Source organism: Homo sapiens, chromosome 2, assembly GCF_000001405.40.
Source record: "Homo sapiens chromosome 2, GRCh38.p14 Primary Assembly".
NCBI classification, from domain to species: Eukaryota; Metazoa; Chordata; class Mammalia; order Primates; family Hominidae; genus Homo; species Homo sapiens.
The window spans coordinates 190,122,107-190,142,308 of NC_000002.12; the positions used below are offsets into that span (position 1 = coordinate 190,122,107).

The 20,202-nt window shown below is 37.7% G+C and overlaps 1 protein-coding gene across 4 annotated transcripts in view; it reads left to right on the forward strand.

The window, feature by feature from the left end:
• The window catches only part of AKAP19 (A-kinase anchoring protein 19), a 323,923-nt gene that overhangs the window by 242,545 nt on the left and 61,176 nt on the right, over window positions 1–20,202 (forward strand). The window contains exon 1 of one of the 4 annotated variants that reach the window (NM_001042521.2): window positions 15,671–15,743. The exons of the other annotated variants lie outside the window; for them this stretch is intronic. The gene's annotated coding sequence lies outside the window, so the exon portion shown is untranslated. Of the gene's footprint in view, window positions 1–15,670; window positions 15,744–20,202 lie in introns of those variants that run through there. 4 annotated transcript variants of the gene reach the window in all.

Genomic DNA, 20,202 nt, shown 5'->3' on the forward strand with positions numbered 1-20,202 from the left:
GCAAAGTACTTGTCGATAGATATTTTAAAAGAAGCAGTTGAGCTAAGACTGCAACCTAGTGGTGAGTTTGTGACTGAAAAACAGTGACTGCATTCATTCTAGGCCATTGATAAAAGGGGCATTTGAATTCAAGATGAGAATGAACAGGCAGAAGTCCATTGTGCCCTTGTGAAGACTGATCTGAAATCATGGTGGAGCAGGGCTAAAAATGGGGAAAGATGGCTGTTACCAGATCCTTGAGGCTGTTAATTTTATGTATTTTCTACTTTATCTGAAGCTTCTGCTCACTTATGTCAGTTTCTTTGTCTCTTTAAAGATGAAGACCTTGTCAAAACCACTGTAGTTTATCTTCTCACACTGGTTGCACTAACTTAGTTTATTTGTTTAATCAGTTTCACTTTAGGGCAGACTTCTGTTTCCTTTTATTTTTGTAATTAAGGCAATTCAGATCATACTCTTCTTTAATTCCAGTAAGTTTTTCATGTGAGAGGATTCCAAGATGATTCTAAATGTCATTCTCATTCTTTGACTCCACAATAGTGCTTGGCTTTTTACTGTGTAATGTAGCCTTTATTCCTTACAAATGCTTATTAGAAACTATATTTATTACAGTTTCACATTGCATTGTATTAATATGGAAAATATTATTGACATGGTAATGCTCAGACTTTGTTCTTTTAATGATGATCACCTCTCTCTCTCTCTTTTTTTTTTTTTGTTAGAGACAAGGACTTGCTCTGTCACCCAGGCTGGAGTGCAGTGGCATGATCATAGCTCACTGCAACCTTGAACACTTGGGCTCATGCTATCTTCCTACTTTGGCCTCCTGAGTAGCTGGGACTGTAGGCATATACCACCATGCCTGGCTAATTAAAAAAATTTTTTTGTAGAGACAAGATCTCGCTATGTTGCCCAAGCTGGTCTTAAACTCCTGGCCTCAAGTGATCCTCCTGCCCCAGCCTCCCAAAGCACTGGGATTACTAGCATGAGCCCCCCACACACACACTAAATATAGAATATTCAAGAAATATAGCATAAGAACTTGAATATTTTAATTGTTATATAACTTATTCTGAGTTTTTAAATCTGCTTGTATCTTTTCTCATTTTCTCATCAATCCTTTTTAAGCATATATTTAAGAATTTGTTCAGTGTTTCTTGATTTTTATTGTCAAATCATCCTTGTTCTTAGCACTCTGACTTTTAGTTAGCTTATATTAACTTTCTTTTATATAGTTTTATTTTACCTGCAAAACTACCTGTGATTTGTTTGTTTCCCCCTTCCAAATCTTTTTCCCTGGCAAAGCTTGATATTTAGGTGTGAAGGTTAGTTATTCTGTGTGCTGTAAAATCAGTCCTGTGCTTTCATAAGGATTATCAAAAGATAATATTATTAGCTTTTAAATTCTTTCTCCACTTCAGGTCTTCCACATTTAATTTAAGTGCATTTTCAGAAAATGTCAAATTATCTCAAATGTATATGCTTCTAAGTTTTGAAGATGTGAATCCATAGCTTCTCTGATCGCTCAGGATTGCAAGACTCACCACAGTAAATTGACTACAGAAAGCCCACCCCTGTCAGTGAAATGATGCTGTGATGGCTAATTTTAGGAGCCAACTAACCTGGATTAAGAAAAATCTAGAAACCTGGTAAAGCATTATTTTTGGTTGTGTCTAAGAGGGTGTTTCCAGAGGAGATTAGCATGTGAGTCTGAGCGCATGTAGGTGGAGAAGATCCACCCTCAATGTGAGTGGCCACCATCCAATCAGCTGGGGACCTCATGAGAACAAAAACAGAAATGATGGATGTATTGATCTATCTCCTGGAGCTGGGATACACTAATATCCTACCTTGGACAACAGAACTCCAGGGATTTCTGGACTCAAGTCCTTTGGACTCAAGGATTTACACCAGCAGCCTCCCTGATTCTTAGGTCTTCTGCCTCATACTGAGAGTTATATGATCGGCTGCCCTGGTTCTGAGGCTTTCAGACTATGAGCCATGCTACTGGCATCTCAGGGTCTCCAGATTGCAGATGGCCTGTCATGGGACTTCTCAACCACCATAATAGTGTGAGCCAATTCCCCTGATAAGTCCCCTCTCATACCTATGCAGTCGTGTCATCCAACAACAGATGTATGTTCTGAGAAATGCATTGTTAGGCAATTTCATTGCTTTGCAAACATGAGAGATTATACTTACACAAACCTAGATGGTGTAGCCTACTGCACACCTAGGCTATATGGTATAGCCTATAACTTCTAGTCTACAAACCTGTACAGCATGTTACTGTACTGAATGCTACAGGCAACTGTAATGCAGTGGTAAATATGTGTATATCTAAATATACAAAAGGTACTGGAAAACTACAGCATAAAAGATTTTAAAATGGCAGGAGCGCAAGGCCAGCCTGGGCAAAATAGTAAAACCCTATCTCTACAAAAAATAAGGAAATTAGCCAGGCATGGTCATGCACACCTGTAGCCCCAGCTACTCAGAAGTCTGAGATGGGAGGATCACTTGAGCCCAACAGTTCGAGGCTGCAGTAAGCTATGATCAAACCACTGCACTCTAGCCTGGGTGACAGAGACCCTGTCTTTTAGCTTACTGTAACTTTCTTACTTTATAAAAACTTTTTAATTTTTAAAGATTTTTCTACCCTTTTGTAATAATTCTTAGCTTAAAACATAAACACATTATACATCTGTACAAAAATATTTTTTCTTTATGCCCTTACTCTATAAACTTTTTTCTATTTTTTAAATTTTTTATTTTTTACTTTTAAACTTTTTTGTTAAAATCGAAGACAAAAACACACACATTAGCCTAGGCCTACACAGGGTCAGAATCATCAATATCATTGTTTCCACCTCCATATCTTGTCCTCCTGGAAGTTTTTGAGGGGCAGTAACACACATGGAGCTGTCATCTCCTCTGACAACATGCCTGCTTCTGGAATACCTCCTGAAGGACCTTCTGGAGGCTGTTTTACAATTAACGTCTTTTTTTTGGAAGTATAAGGAGTACACTCTAAAGTAATGATAAAAAGTCAGTGCAGTAAGTTTGTTTACACCAGCACCACCACAATCATGTGAGTTGTGCATTGTACTATGACATCAGCATGGCTGTAATGATATCCCTAGGTGATAGGAATGTTTCAGCTGCAGATAATCATATGGGACCCTCATATACACAGTTCGTTGTTGACTGAAACATAGTTATATGGTGCATGACTGTGTCTATGTCCAATTGGTTCTGTCTCAGTGGAGAACGCTGATACAGATGCCCTGTATGTAATTCAGAGATTATATCCAGTGATATAATCCAATGAAACTGTTTTGGATCTCCATTGGTCTTTAGAACAGCTTTCTACAAAGTATAGATTTTTTCACTTGATTTTGGATTTGATCTAAATGAGGCAAACCAAGGAACCAGCCACTCTGTAATCAATGCAAAAATCAGTGCTGGAATAGTGAATTGTCTGAAGTGCTTTCTCTTTTCCTACAATTCCGTTTATGAAAAACAGTCCGGGATCTTTGTTGGGAAATCTGTCACATAAAGATCATGATGGATAACATGGCACTCTAAAGGCAGTTTCTAGTGAAATAAAAGTTAATGGAGCAAAATGCCTTTCTATAGAGTCATGAATGTAATACTGAGGGGAACAAAATAAATGCTTCCCCACCATACTTAATTAGGTTTTGGAAGGAAGAGGCAAATTAATAAAACAGCACGGCAATTCCCAGAGGTATAGATTTTCAAGATATTACTTATATAAAGCTATAAAAATGCATGGCATGAGATATTTTTAATGACCCTTAAAACCTTTTTAAAAACAATAATGTTTTTAATAATTCAGATTTATTAATTATCACAGAAGTAATGTATTAAAAATGAGAGTATAGGCTGGGCACAGTGGCTCACACCTGTAATCCCAGCACTTTGGGAGGCCGAGGTGGGCAGATCATGAGGTCAGAAGATTGAGACCATCCTGGCCAACATGATGAAATCCTGTCTCTACTAAAATACAAAAAATTAGCCGGGCGTGGTGGAGCACACCTGTAGTCCCAGCTACTCAGGAGGCTGAGGCAGGGGAATTGCTTGAATCCTGGAGGTGGAGGTTGCAGTGAGCTGAGATTGAGCCACTGCAGTCCAGCCTGGCAACAGAGCGAGATTCCATCTCAAAAAAAAAAAAAAAAAAAAAAAAAAAAAAAAAAAGGTGTATATTTTGTGCTAGAAATTATCACTATATAGGTACAATTTTCTTAACAGAAAATTCTGTTGTGTAAATATGTATAAGATAGCATAGTTACCTGAAAGTATCCTTTACAATATCCTTGAGAAGAAAAAAAGCTTAATCCTTGAGTAGTGCCATGATTCTCATATGAGATAAACCTACAGAGTTTATTTTTCCGGTCTTAAAGAGCTTTACCTCACATTCTAAATACATATAAAAGAAATGTAAGAAATGCTGTTTTATTTTATGTTCTATAAAAATAAAATCTTCAGTTGGTGATTAATTTACTTATCTACAATAACTCTTGAATACATAATTGTTTAAGAGCACATTATTAGGACTTTAGGTAAGAAAACATAAAGCAAATAGATTTTGACCCACAAAATTACAGATTTGGGGAGGGGCAAGAGTGACAGGAAAAAGTAAAAAAAAAACAAAGTGAAGATGGTTTTTACTTAAATGATAGGCATAAATAAAAGACATCAAAAGACTTGTCAAGTTCTCTCTCTCTCTCAACTTTGTAAGTTTAAATAGACTATAGATGTTGGGAAAGAAGATGTACACACACACTCTCCTCAAGTTTCTGATGTACTTGGCTAAGGACAGACAAGCTTAGTGGAAGCCAGCTGGCCACATCTTCAGCATATTTCAGTACAGCTTCCTTTGGCCACCAGAGCACCCAAAGAGGGATGTAGAGCTGTAAACAAGGTGTAGCACTGTTAAGGGATATATAGCTGCACAAAGTAAGTCTTTCCAGATCTGGAAAGCTTAATTTTGTCTTATACTTTTGTATACCAGGGATGTAAATTACTATTTGGAAAGAACTTAAGCAATATGTGCCCTGACTGGAAAAAAAAAAAAAAATAAGACATCTGGAACTCTGGTTCTCAAGCCAAACTTGGCAGAAAGCTTATTCAGAGGAAAAAGCAGAATGAATGCTCATATATCGGTGAATGGTGTCCTGACTCTAGCTTTCTAGGATCTTGGGAAGCCCATTTCCACCAACACAGTTTTTCCTCCTCCAACCGCACATCCCCAAATGACCACCAAGAGCAATAAGTAAATGGGATATTGAGAAGTGAATAATGGATTTATGGATAATATATCTTGGACAAGCTGAGTACTTGTGCATATTTGAGACACATGGCAAATACTAAAGCTGTCTAAATGTAGCTTTTATACTATTACAAAATAAAAATATATGTGAAAAAACACCATAAAGTTTATTAGCCACTAAAGATCTGTAGGAGGAAATTATATTCAAGTATTATATTAGAACATGAATAATGTGTTAATCTAAATCTGAGTCAAACCATACCAAGAAGGCAATGTTTACTACCATTGAAGTTATTTTTTAAATTGAGTTATATTTTTATAAACTTATATCAACATCATTTTTGTTTCTTATCTTTTTTATTTCTCCCTTCTCTGGCCATTCCACCAACAGTCCCAGATGGCCTTAAACAGTGTTTCCCAAAGCATGGTACACACAGTGCTGATGGTACCTGAGATGGTTTTATGTGGTTCAAGGAGGTTTTACTTTTACAGTCTCTATATATAATAAAACAATATAATGAAACCCATCAACCTGAGAATTCACAGATATAAAATTTAAATCACAGATATAAAATTTAAATAAGTTTATACAAAATAAAATGAGTCAATTTAATAAAGTAATAAGGAAATAACAGTAGGGGTGGCACTCAGAGGGGAAAAATGTGAGGGTGGCACTCAATGTGGAAATACAGCTATATATTTTAAGAAAAGAAACTGATTCTTAGTATGAAATAGCATTGTGTCTTTTTCTTCTAATGGAGCTAATGTCTCTTTAAGGAAGTGAAATAGCAGTTTTCATTGGGGTTTTAGAGAACATTATTTAATGGGTCCACACGCCCTATCAAACTGGTAAAAATCCAATGAGAGGTCACAAAAGAAACCAATCCATCTAAAGAACCTAAAAATGCTTGGAATATACAGAGGGTGTTTTTACAGGGAATCTGGACATGGTAATAACCAAGAGTGTTTAGAGCTAAAGATGGATTAATCAGAAATCTATCCACAAGGCACAAAAGGCAGCCAAACTCTACCCAGCTAATCTATGGTCTTGACACAGGGCAAGTGCTACAGGAACTGTAACGGAGAAGGAGAGGGAGTGCAATGGTACCGGAGTCTAGTGCTGGTTCTGCCAAAGATTAGTCATATGCCCCAGGGCAGCCCATTTAAATCAGGATATCTTAAACACACAAATAATACATGTTTATGATGTACGTCTTCAATGAATGCTTAATAAATATATTGCTTTTCCTCCTACCCAGAATTGCCATCATAGATTTTTGGTTTGTTTACATGCTTCTTTGCATGTGTTTATGTTCATAAAATTGATGTAACACGTATTATACAAAACAAAACAAACAACAAAACCCTCAATGTAGAAATGTATAAAGAAGAAAAGTCTCTAATAGTATAAAAACCTAAACTTAAGAGCTATGTATCCTTATAGGATTTCCATGTTGCATATCCCCCTTAAGGGGATGCCAGTCAATTGATTATCATAGAAGACTATGAATGATGTCTCCTTGCACTTCAGAAAACACCTACATATGGTAGCTCTGTTTATGAACCTGGAATATTTTTTAATGATATGACGTAAGCATATATGTGTATACCTGTGTTTACCACAATTGAAATTAGGTTGTACATAACATTCTACAACTGGCATATATTTCAGTTTCTTAGAATTCAGCACATGTACATCAACTGGCATATATTTGGCTTCTGTACAAATCAGTACATGTATATCTGCCTCATTTTTTAATAGCTGTAGAGTACTCCATTTACTGATGCCTCATAATTTAATTAATTCCTTATTTATGGATGTCTGGATTATGTCTAAACTTTTTCTATAAAAGTGTGGTTGCAACCATGAAAAGTTATGCTGGAAGATTTCAATTAAAAAATTGGACCCATAAATTATTTGTGTAATTAAAATTTATTCACAGACAAAATATAAATGATTTTGTGAATATCTTTGTAAAATATTTGATAGTCAGAATCACTCCCATCCCTCAACATACTTATTTTTAAAAAACAAATAAATACTTGCCATGTGCCCTGATTATGTTATGTTCTTTAATAGAGCAGTCCATTTTAATTGGTTGGGTTTTTCCTTTTTCAAAATAACCAGCTCACAGGTGTCCACACAATACTGAAAAATGAAAGTATTTTCTAAGGTGATGAGGGGGAAAGTAATTAATGTGGGCATAGTATAGTCTAATGTTGTTCTCGGTGGGTTGCAGCATCTGTTAGAGAAGAAAACAGAGGCAATAATATTAGCAAGTAACCAAACCAGACAAGTGGAGAGGTAGAGAGATGTGAGTCTTGTGTAAGTCACCATGATCAGAAGATCCTATAGCTAGCAGGACCTTCAGAATACCTACATGAATAATCTCACAAAGATAGACCTATCTCTAAAGAGAACTGGCTGTAGGTACAACTGTGGACCTGGTGAGACAGGCCTTCTCTGTCCTTCTTCCTCTGAGTGCCTCTCCTCCTTTTAAGAGATCCCTTCCCATCCAGCCCAGGATATTTTTCTATCTTGTGGTTACTTGGTTTACAGAGGCCCTCTTCTATTTTACTATGTTTATTCATTCTTGTAAACTGGGCTGGATTTGGGGCCTGAAGATGTAGTATGTTACAACAGGAATAGACTTCTAGTCCAATTTTTCATATTAGAGATGAACAAACTGAAACCAGGGCAGGCTAAGTGACCCTATCACAGATCACACAGAGAGATTTTATAAACTATTTTATAACTAGTACTCTATCATTCATTCCAGCTATTTTTCTCACCCATCTACTGAAATTCCTTCTCAGTTTCTCAAAGAAGGAGTATAAGAATTGATGACTAGGTCTTTGTGTCTCTAAGGCATTTGAATTTTAACTGGGGAAAAGGCCTTGACCTGGAAATTTTCTAATACTGCAATTGAAAGTTAGATGTTGGGAACAAATAAGGAGGAAGACACATTGGAGACAGAGAACATCAAATCCTAGTCTTTTCATTCATCAGGCCAGCCATATTCAAACGTATCATTTTAGTTAGATACAAGTTTCTAATTTAGTAGATACATACAGTAGTTGCAATGCAAAAAAATTTTAAAAAGCTAAATCCTGCTAGTTTTCTTCTCTTACCCCTGCAGTATGGTGGAATATAGGTGTTGTTGGTAAGATTCAACTACCTCATGTAAATGTTTTAGGATAATACTGTATTGATGATCAAATGTACAGAGAGATTAAAATAAAGCCTCCTGAGGATGTAATATCTATAGAAAATGACTGGCTTGAGAAGGACCTGGATCTCGCTAGCTATCAGTTTATTCCTATGCTAAATAGTTCTGCACAAGTTTATCATAAGGTACAAACAGCGGTAGATCAACAGAGAAAGAGAATAAGCAAATCAGTGCCAGAATACGAAAATGTATATAATGGATTTTTAGGGAAAACTCATTGTTTCTTTAAATCTACCCCTACCCTACACTGGCTTCTCTAAATGTTAGGTATTTGCTATATTTGTTGTATAAATGTGACACTAAATGTAAATGCTCAGATAGATATGATCATTTTGCTGTAAGGGGTCCATGGCCAGAGACCAGAGTGAAGGCTGTGAAATTATAAGAAATATATGTATTGGTCTCTGCCCCCATTCCTTGTAACAGGGCTCCTGAAATCCTTGTAATTTCCTGAGTGATAGGGATGCTAGAAGAATCTTTTGTTCTAATATTTGGTCTTTGACCCTGGTTCCTGACACAGCGATCCTAAATATCCCTTGTAGTTTCCAGGGTGATAGAAGCATCTTTTGTTCTAATGGGGCAACTCTTAGTGGGCACCTAGATGGGGAATGATCACCAGAAAGACTAAGCCATAGTTCTAAGGTTGGAGCTTTCACTCTTCTATTCCCCATTCTCAGGAAAGGGAAGAGAGGTTGGAAATGGAGTTAATAATTGATTATACCTACGTGATGAAACCTTCATAAAAATCCCTGAACTATGGGGTTTGGGGAGTTGCTTCTGGACAGCAGAATGGATAGTGGAGGTTCCTGGAGGTTGAAGTGGCTTGAGAGGGTATGGGAGCTCCATGTGCCTTTCCACATACCTTCCTTTATGCATCTCTTCCATCTGGCTCTTTGTATCCTTTCTTTATAATAAATGAGTAGAGGTAAATAAAGTGTTTCCCCAAGTTCTGTGAGCTGCTCCAGCAAATTAATAGAATTCAAGGTGGGGGTCATTGGAAGTCCAATTTATAGCCAGCTGATCAGGCCACAGCCTGGGGTTTGCAGTCGGCATCTGAAGTTGGGCAGTCTTGTAGGATCAAACCTGTGGGATCTGATACTATCTCCTGTGGGATAGTATCAGAATTAAACTGAATTAGAGCTGGTGTCTGCCACAGAATCTGCCAGAAAATTGCTTGGTATGTAGAGGAAAAAAATATCCACACATCTGATGTCAGAGGTGTTGAGTGACTGTGAAAGTAGAGGTAGGAAAAACACTCGGGTTTTTCTATATCACAGCAGTCTCATATATAGAAAACCTTAAAGACTCCACCAAAAAAAAATTTGCACTAAAAAATAAGTTATTTTGCAGGATACAGAATCAACATATAGATAATTATAGCATTTCTTTATACTAACAACGAGCTATCTGAAAAAAATCCAGAAAACCAATTTAAAATAGCTACCAAAAAAATAGGAAGAAATTTAACCAAAGAGGTGAAAGAACTGTACACCGAAAGCTATAAAACATTTATGAAATAAATTGAAGACACAGAAAGATATCTTGTGTTCATGGATTAGGAGAACTGATATTGTTAAATGTCCATATTACAAAGCGATCTACAGGTTCAACATAATCCCTATCAAAATTCCAATGACAATTTTCACAGAAATAGAAAAAATAATACTAAAATTTGTATGGAACCACAAGAGACCCTGAATAGCGAATGCAATCTTGAGCAAAAAGAACAAAGCTGGAGGCATCACACTGTCTGATTTCAAAATATAAGGCAAGGCTACAGTAATCAAAACAGCATGGTACTGACATTAAAAACAGACACACAGAATAGAGAGCCCAGAAATAAATCCACGCTTTTACAGTTAATTTATTTTTGGCAAAGATGTCAAGCATATACAATGGGAGAAAGAACAATCTCTTCAATAAATAGTGTAGGGAAAACTGAATATCCACATGCAGAAGAATGAAATCAGACCCTTATATCACACCATATAAAAAATCAACTCAAAATAGATGAAACACACTTAAACATAAGACCTGAAACTGTAAAACTACTAGGAAAAAACACAGGGGGAAAGCTCTATGACATTACTTTGGGGGATGTTTTTTTTGGAGATGACTCCAAAAGCACAAGCAACAAAAGCAAAAATAAACAAATGAGATTACATCAAACTAAAAAGCTCTGCACATAAAGGAAATAATCAACAGAGTGAAAAGACAACTTACAGAATGGGTGAAGATATTTGCAAACCATGCATCTGATAAGGGGTCAATATCTAAAATATATAAGCAACTCAAACAATTCAATAGCAAGAAAGCAAATAAGCCAATTTAAAAATGTGCAAAAGGCCTGTAATCCCAGCACTTTGGGAGGCCAAGGTGGGCGGATCATGAGGTCAGGAGATAGAGACCATCCTGGCTAACACAGTGAAACCCCGTCTCTACTAAAAATACAAAAAAAATTAGCCGGGCGTGGTGGCGGGCGCCTGTAGTGCCAGCTACTCGGGATGCTGAGGCAGGAGAATAGCGTGAACCCAGGAGGCGGAGCTTGCAGTGGGCCGAGATCACGCCACTGCACTCCAGCCTGGGAGACAGAGCGAGACTCTGCCAAAAAAAAAAAAAAAAAAAAAAAAAAAAGTGCAAAAGAACCTGAATAGATATTTCTCAAAAAAACACATATAAATGACCAAACAGGTATATGAAAAAAACATGCTCAACATCATTAATCATCAGGGAAATTCAAATTAAAACTCTAATAAGATATCACCTGACACCTATTAGGATGGCTATTATCAAAAAGATGAATAAGTGTGGAAAGTAAAGGAACTGTTATATACGGTTGCTGGGAATGTAAGTTAGTGTGAAAAGCAGTATGAAGGTTCCTCAAAAAACAGATCTACCATATGATCCAGCAAAGGAAAGTATGTTGGTGGGATATCTGCACCCCTATGTTCATTGAGCACTGTTCACAATAACCAAGATATGGATTCAACCTAAGTGTTCATCAACAGATGAATGGATGCTATTCAGCCTTAAAAAAGGGAGTCTTGCCATTTGCAATCACATGGATAAACCTTGAAGATATTATGTTAAGTGAAATAAGCCAGGCACAGAAACACAAAAACTACATGATCTCACTTAAATGTGGACTCTAGGAGAGTTGAACTCATAGAAGCAGAGAGCAGAATGGTGACTGACTGGGTCTGGGGTTGTAGAAAGTGGGTATTGAGGAAATGTTGGTCAAGGATACAAAATTTCGGTTATGAGAAATAAATTCAAGAGATTTCTTGTACATTATGGTGATTGTATTTAATGAAATGTATTATACACTTGAAATTTGCTTAGAGAGTAGATTTTAGGTGTTTTCGTCACAAATACATGAGGTAATACATATGTTAATTAGCTTACTTTAGCCATTCCACAATATATACATACTTCAAAACATTATGTTGTATACCATAAATATATATATTTTGTGTGAATTTTTAAAAAATAGTTGTAGCATTAGGACTGATTAGTGAGAGTGTACAAATGAAACCCATGAGCTAAAAACAGAATTAAAAGACATGGTAAATAGGAAAGGTGTTTGAACTTATATGGGCTCTCGTTCATTGAAAATATAAAATACTACTGTTAAAGGTGAACCCTGCTAGAAATTGATGTTACTCCTGGGACCAGGGATGCAATAGTTTTATTAAATGATGCTTTGTGGGATATAGCTTTAAAATAAACTATACAAATTGAGAAAGGATTAACATAGAACTGGTTGGTTTCAGTTTATCAATTATTGGTATTTTATTAAATGCTCTTAAAAATGTATTTATTACCAAAGATGTTGAATGATTAAAAATATATTTATAACATGGGTATCTTTTAGTTTAATACTTAATGTCATAAGGTTATTATAACCATTACATCTTATAATTATTTACAGAGAAGCCAGTAATAAAACCTTTAATATTTTTAGAAAATTCTTAAATTTTAAATGGCATAGTGAATTAGGATGAATTTAAAAATAAGAAGCTTATTTCCTATTCCCAGATCTCCAATGGTTATTTAAGTCTCTGCAGGGAAGTTAACTTTAAATGTGTGTGTTTTAATTTATCCTTCTGTTAAGTTAAATTAGATCTGTTTTCTTAATCTGCATTTTCCCAAGGGTGCATCTTACTGTATTACTATTCTATATTGTTAAATACTGAAGTTGCTTACAGTTGTTTATAAATGACTATGAACAGTGATAAGTATCAGTGTGCATAAATATTTTTCTTTATTTGGAGTATTTATTATATATTCCTATAAGTAGAATAATTGATATTATAACTCTTCAAAGCTATGGGATCATTTAAATTTCAGGAACTTTCAGGATTTAAAATTTTAACAGGGTCTTCACTGAAGGCATCTTATTTACTATTCATTTGTCACCACTTTAATAATCAAAAACATTTTAAACAACTTTTTTATGTTAGTATTTGGATTACTAAAAGGTGAATTTGTTATCTATTTCGGCATGAATAATTTTAGGGTGATTGAAAATGAGGTAGATTTTTTTCCCAGTAACTTCTCAGTCACATTTTCTCCCTCCTACCTACTAGGCCAGATGCACTGGATGTAGTAAGTAAGAACTGAGTTCCAGTCTCAGCTAGCATTTCCCTTTGTTCTTGCTACTTAAGGTGTGGAACGTGGTTTTTAAAATCAGTATCATGGGAGCTTGTTTGAAATGTAGAATCTCAGCCTTCATCCTATACCTATTCAATAAGAATCTGCATTTTTAAGGATCTCTGCGTGATTTATATGCACACTAAATTTTGAAAAACTCTGCTTTATGCAACTTTCAGCAGTTCACTGAATCTCTCTCCTCCTTGGTTTCTCTTCAGTCAAATGATGGGGTTGGCCAAATAATGTGTAGAAATTTTAAAACTGGAAGGAACTCATAATAAGGATTATTGGTTTAGAGCATGGGTTCTGAAACCAGTGTTGTCTTGAGTTTGAGTCCCAGCTCTACGGCTTACCGTGTTACCTTGGGCAGATCATATAGCATCCCTGTGCTCCAGTTTCCTCATTTGAAAAATAGGGATTATAATGGTATCTATTTCAAGAAGTTGTGATATTTAAATGTAATAGATGTAAAGTATGTAGATTAGTGCTTGGCACAAAATAAGCACTATACAAACATGAACTCTTCATGATTTAAGATTCTTGATTGACTAGCATTCTAGAACACATGAAGATGCCAATTTACTTGAAAGATACCAGTTGGGGCATTCTCATTATTAGTATGAGTTTGAAGGACTAAAGAAAGTGCCATGGAGGAAGTGGGAATTTGGAACAGTTTTATGGGATAACTAAATTTGAGACTGATTAGAAACAAAAGCATTAGGGGCATTCCAGGTGAAACAAAAATTCCTGGCATGTAGTAGACACCGATGTATTTATTTGGTGTCTTCCTTCTAAGGAACCAGCAAATATATGGGTGTCTACTACATGTGAACAAATAAATATATGGGTGTCTACTATGTGCCAGGAATTTTGAGGAAGGGATAGAGTGGCTAGAATCAGAAAGTTTGTTAGGCAGCTAAGGAGCTAAGATTGAATCCTCTTAATTCCAAACTTAAAAATGTTAGCTTTAACTGCCAGGTCTGTCCCACAGACCCTGGCCCAGCAATGGATGAAAGGAGTACTCAGACACAGGTATGCAGTGTAAGAGCAGCTAGGTGACTGCCTGGCACTAGCAGCCCAAGAGTGAGCAGTCTTGATAAGCTGGAGCTGCTTGCTTTCATTCAGCATAGACAAAATGCCAAAAGCCTGGAGCAAACACAATCTGCAGGTAATTAACATTATTGTTTCCCATTTTAGGGAGCAGTCATGCACGCAGATGATCAAAGGTTGGTTTCTGGACAACATAAGTAAACAAGCCTGTTTGAGATAAATTCCCCTACACTTCCTTGTACCTACTCTTTGCCCTCTGCCTCAGGGTCAGAGAACAGCTGCCTTCAGCTATTCTCCCCCAAAGGTATGCAGAGCCAGAGCCTTCTGACCTTTCAGAAGGCCTGTTTCTTTACCTATAGTTTCTCCCACCACTCTGACCAATCTCCCACATTTAACTGTGAGAAATAGAGAAATATTCTTTTCTGGCAAATAGAATAAAGTAAATACAGAAAAGCATTAGTAGATGGAATGGGTTAGTAGAAAAGAAAGCAAAAGGATAAGAACCAAGATTTGGTTATTAGATTTTGGAGAATATGTACTGCAGGAAGCAATTATGACTCTAAGATTTTAAGTCTGAAGGACCAGGAATGTGCTTTTGGCAAAAATGGGAATATGGTAAAAGCTCCTTTGAGGAAAAGATTGCTTTTGGAAGTGTTGAAGGTAGTACATCCAGTAAATGTGTCGACGTAGCAGAATGCACTTCATTCAGAACAGGGACAATCATACTTTTACCTTTTATCACATTACTAGAATCAAACTTTTAAAATTGTCATATTATGTCATCCATATCATCAATAAGCTAGGCAATCCAGCTTTGCTTTATCCTAATAATGTCAATTTTGTGCAGAAAATGGTTGAGTCTATAAAAATTTGAACTCCAAATTTTTGATAAGCAGTAAGAAAATATAAAACAAAGGAAAACTTTAAAATTCTGGAATGATTATATCTTTGTGTCCTTTATATAGTTCAAATTCTCAAATTCTGTCTACCTAAATATTTTTTAAATGAATTAAATTGAATGGTTTGCAGTATTGGCTTTTTGTGAACCAAAAAAAGAACTTGAAAGACAGTAAGTTTCAGCTCTATTATTTCATTATCCTGGTCCCTGGATAACATTTATACTCAGCCTGAAATAAATTAAGAACAAATGAAATATGTAGCTTTCAGACTTCTCCAAAGCACTCCTAGACCTAGATGACAAAGGTCTTCATCTTTTTGTCCAGGAAATAGCCTAGCATGGTTTACTGTCCCTGAGACTATTCGCCATCATAAATAATATTTACCAGAGTCTTTTGCCTTTAAACTACACAGGAGCAGAAAAACTGATCGGAGGGTGGCATGTGTGTTATAATACTGATTATTGGGTGAAAAGTGCATTTGTGAGCAAATGTGGTGCTGCCTAGCAACTGCTTCTAGGCAGAGTGGCTGGGAGCCAGCTGTTGTCATCATTCAGGAGCTATCAGCCTATTTCTACATACTTTATATCTGTTTTGGATTATTTGGATTCCAGTTGTAAGGTACAGTTTTTCTGAGCAACTCCTAAGGCAGTACTAAATATTTTGCTTTTTAGTGATTGACACACCAAACCCTTACTTTCTACCCATCTCTGAATGTAAAAAATACACAGCTTTTTAACTATAATGGAATATATGTCTGAAGTTGGGTACTTTCGTATTTTGAAAAACCATTGACATCCATTCCTTTTAGGCCTAAACTCTGGCACATTCTTAAGTGGTCTAGGATTACACCCAGGTTTCTACCTACTACTGAGAATGTAAGAGGTGGTATGAAACATGCTTCAGAAACTTTTAACTCATCTTCTGAAAAATTCATTCCTGGCCTTCTTTGTGTAGTTACTACTTTCACTACTGATCATGATTTATTTTCTTGCCCCTGACCCTTGCAGCAGGATAGAGCTAAGTTAACAGAAGTGAAGCAGTAGATGGTAGAGTAACTAGAGGTTATGCCAGAACTTGATGAGGAGTAGATAGGCCATATTAGTGGAGTAGAAGTCCCTCCAGGGAGAAGAGTGCTCACAAAAATTGAAGGAGTATACAGTAAGTACTATAGCCTAATACTGTTTGAGTACTTCCCGATACTCCTAGGCAGTTCAGCTGCTCTAATTCTGTCCAAGCTTCTTGTTCACACAGTCACTAAATACTTAAGTGTACACTTGCATTCAGTCAACAATGCATTCATCCTTTTATCCCCATGGCTGCTGAGAAGTCTCATCCACTCTCCTTGCTCATTTTCTTACAGCTGTCCAGTCTCCTAACTCATTCCTATTTATCTGCAAACCCACTTCCTCTGTGCCCTCAACCTTTTAACAGGGCACTCCATCACATCTTTTAAAATTGAAACCCCAAGGAGCTTACTTCATTTTCAGTTCCCTCCAACAGAGCCTGTTCTTTGTCCATACCTCATAAGCCAAAGCCAGGAGATAGGTTTTTATCATCTTTAGCTCCCTATACCACTTCCAGGCCATTTTCACGAGAAGACCCTCTTCATTTGGGAGACAATATAGGACTTAAGAGCATAGGATTTGGACGTAGACCCTTATTTGGGGATGTTAACCTTTATGAGCCTCAATTTCCACATCTGAAAGGAAGGATAAGAATATCATTTGGCAAAGTTGTTATGAGGATTAAATTTATGCATTCTTTTCACAAGCCTTTGTGGATTACTATGTGCTAGGCACTTTTTAAAGTACTCAACAAAACAAATAATTCCTACTCTCATGAAGCTTGTAGTTTCATGAGGGGGAATAAAGTCTTCTTTAAACAAGTAAATACATAAACACAATGATGAAATCTGATATGAAAGAAAGTATATCAAGTGTTTAATTGGAAGTAAAATTTAGATGGTGGTGAGCTGGTTAGGAGAAAGGTTTGGTTAGGAGGTGACATTTAAAGTTACAGTAGAAGGATAAGTAGGATTTAGGCAAAGGAGCAAAGGATAGAGGGCATTACAGAAATAAGGCAGCTTGGCACTTTCTAGAGACTGAGAAAAGGCCATTATGAAAGGGAGAGGTGTTACAGAGTGCAGTCAGAGATGTAGGATGGGGCAGAATTTATAGGACCTGAATATGAAGGCTATATTAGTCCATTCTCACACTGCTGTGAAGAAATACCCAAGGCTGAGTAATTTATAAAGGAAAGAGGTTTAATTCACTCACTGTTCTGCAGGGCTGGGAGGCCTCAGGACACCTACAATCATGGCAGAAGGGGAAGCAAACACATTGTTCTTTGCATGGTGGCGGCAAGGAGTAGTGCTAAGCAAAGAGGGAAAAGCTCCTTATAAAACCATCAGATCTCATGAGAACTCACTATCACAAAAACAGCAGCATAGGGGTAACTACCTCCATGATTCAATTACCTCCCACAACATGTGGAGGTTATGGGAACTACAATTCAAGATGACATTTGGGTGCAGACACAGCCAAACCATATCATTCCTCCCCCGGCCCCTCCCAAATCTCATGTCGTCACATTTCAAAACACAATCATGCCTTCCCAACAGTGCCCCAATATCTTAACTCATTCTATCATTAACCCAAATGTCCAAGTCCAAAGTCTCATCTGAGACAAGGCAAGTCCCTTCCATCTATGAGCCTGTAAAATCAAAAGCAAGTTAGTTACTTCCTAGATACTATGGGGGTACAGGCATTGGGTAAATACACCTATCCAAAATGGGAGAAATTGGCCAAAATGAAGGGGCTACAGACCCCATGCAAGTCTGAAATCCGATGGGTCAGTCAGATCTTAAAGCTCTAAAATGATCTCCTTTGACTCCAGGTCTCACATCCAGGTCACACTGATATAAGAGGTGAGTTCCCATGGTCTTGGTTAGCTCTACCCCTGTGGCTTTGCAGGTTATACTCCCCTCCTGGCTGCTTTCATGGGCTGCTGTTGGGTGTCTGTGGCTTTTCCAGATACACGGTGCAAGCTCTCTGTGGATCTACCATTCTGGGGTCTAGAGGACAGTGGTCCTCTTCTCACAGCTCCACTAGGCAGTGCCCCAGTGGGATCTCAGTGTGGGGGCTCCCACACCACATTTCCCTTCTGCACTGCCCTAGGAGAGGTTCTCCACAAGGGCTCCATTCCTGCAGCACACTACTGCTTGGACATCCAGGCATCTTCTGAAATCTAGGCAGAGGTTCCCAAACCTCAGTCCTTGACTTCTGTGCACCTGCAGGCTCAACACCATGTGGAAGCTGCCAAGGCTTGGAGCTTGCACCCTCTGAAGCCATGGCCACACTGTACCTTGGCCCCTTTTAGCCACAGCTGGGACACAGGGCACCAAGTCCTGAGGCTGCATACAGCAGGGAGGCCCTGGACCCGGCCCATGAAACCATTTTTTCCTCCTAGGCCTCCAGGCCTGTGATGGGAGGGGCTGCTGTGAAGGTCTCTGACATAGCCTGGAGACATTTTTCCTATTGTCTTGGGAATCAACATTTGGCTCCTCATTACCTATGCAAATTTCTGCAACGGGCTTAAATTTCTGCCCAGAAAATGGGTTTTTCTTTTCTATCACATTGTCAGGCTGCAAATTTTCCAAACGTTTGTGTTCTGCTTCTTCTTGAACACTTTACCACTTAGAAATTTCTTCTGCCAGGTACCCTACGTCATCTCTCCCAAGTTCAAAGTTCTGCAGATCTCTAGGGCAGGGGAAAAATGCCACCTGTCTCTTTGCTAAAGCATAGCAAGTGTGACTTTTACTCCAATTCCCAACAAGTTTCTTATCTCCCTCTGAGACCACCTCAGCCTGGACTTCATTGTCCATATCACTATCAGTATTTTGGTCAAGGCCATTCAACAAGTCTCTAGGAAGTTCCAAACATTCCCACATCTTCCTGTCTTCTGAGCCTCCCAAGTCTCTGGGAAGCTCCAAACTTTTCCTTATTTTCCTGTCTTCTTTGGAACCCTCCAAACTGTTCCAACCTCTGCCTGTTATGCAGTTTCAAAGTCGCTTCCACATTTTTAGGTATCCTTATAGCAGCACTCCACTCTACTGGTACCAGTTTACTATATTAGTCTCTTCTCACACTGCTGTGAAAAAATACCTGAGACTGGGTAATTTATAAAGAAAAGAGGTTTAATTGACTCACAATTCTGCAGGGCTGGGGAGGCCTCAGGAAACTTACAGTCATGGTGGAAGGAGAAGCAAACACATCCTTCTTCATATGGTGGCAGCAAGGAGCACTGCTGAGCAAAGAGGGAAAAGCCCCGTGTAAAACCATCAGATCTCATGAGAACTCATTCACTATCAAGAAAACAGCAGCATGGGGGTAACCACCCCCATGATTCAGTTACCTCCCACAAGGTCTCTCCCTTGACATGTAGGGATTATGGGAACTACAATGCAAGATCACACTTGGGTGGGGACACAGCCAAACAATATCAAAGGAGTTTTACTGTTATTGAGCAAAGGGGGCTTGCTGCCCAATGTGCTAGAAGCCAATATTATGATACCCGGTTTTTGAGAGAAGCTTTATATTGCAAGTTGACTCACAAGAGACACAAGTCAAGCTGAAATCTTTCTCCTCGTGCTGACTTTAAGGCAGTAATTTTATTTAAAAAGGCTTAGCGGGAGGATTCTGGGATTAGCAGGTGATTGGCGGAAGGAAAGGTGAGGTCTGGAAAGTCCTCAGGCATGTGCAGTTACCTCTTCATGCTACTTCGTGGGTCCCATGTGCATATTCAAAAATGAGTTAGTATGAAACATGCAGTGGAAATTCAGGCTGTGATGTCAGCAGGCTTGTTTTGTGCAGACTCCAGTCGGTCATATTGGTTCCAACTGATTTCAGCCAGCTTCATGATCTTACAAATGGAGGGAATTTCAGTGTTTCAGCAAGTTGTTTCTCTTATCTGCCATCCTGCAAACTCAAGAATTTCTGTTAGTTATGGTGTCTTTAACTCTTTGTGGCACAGTTTCATTACTTCCATTTAAAATGTCATTAGACACAATGATTTTAAG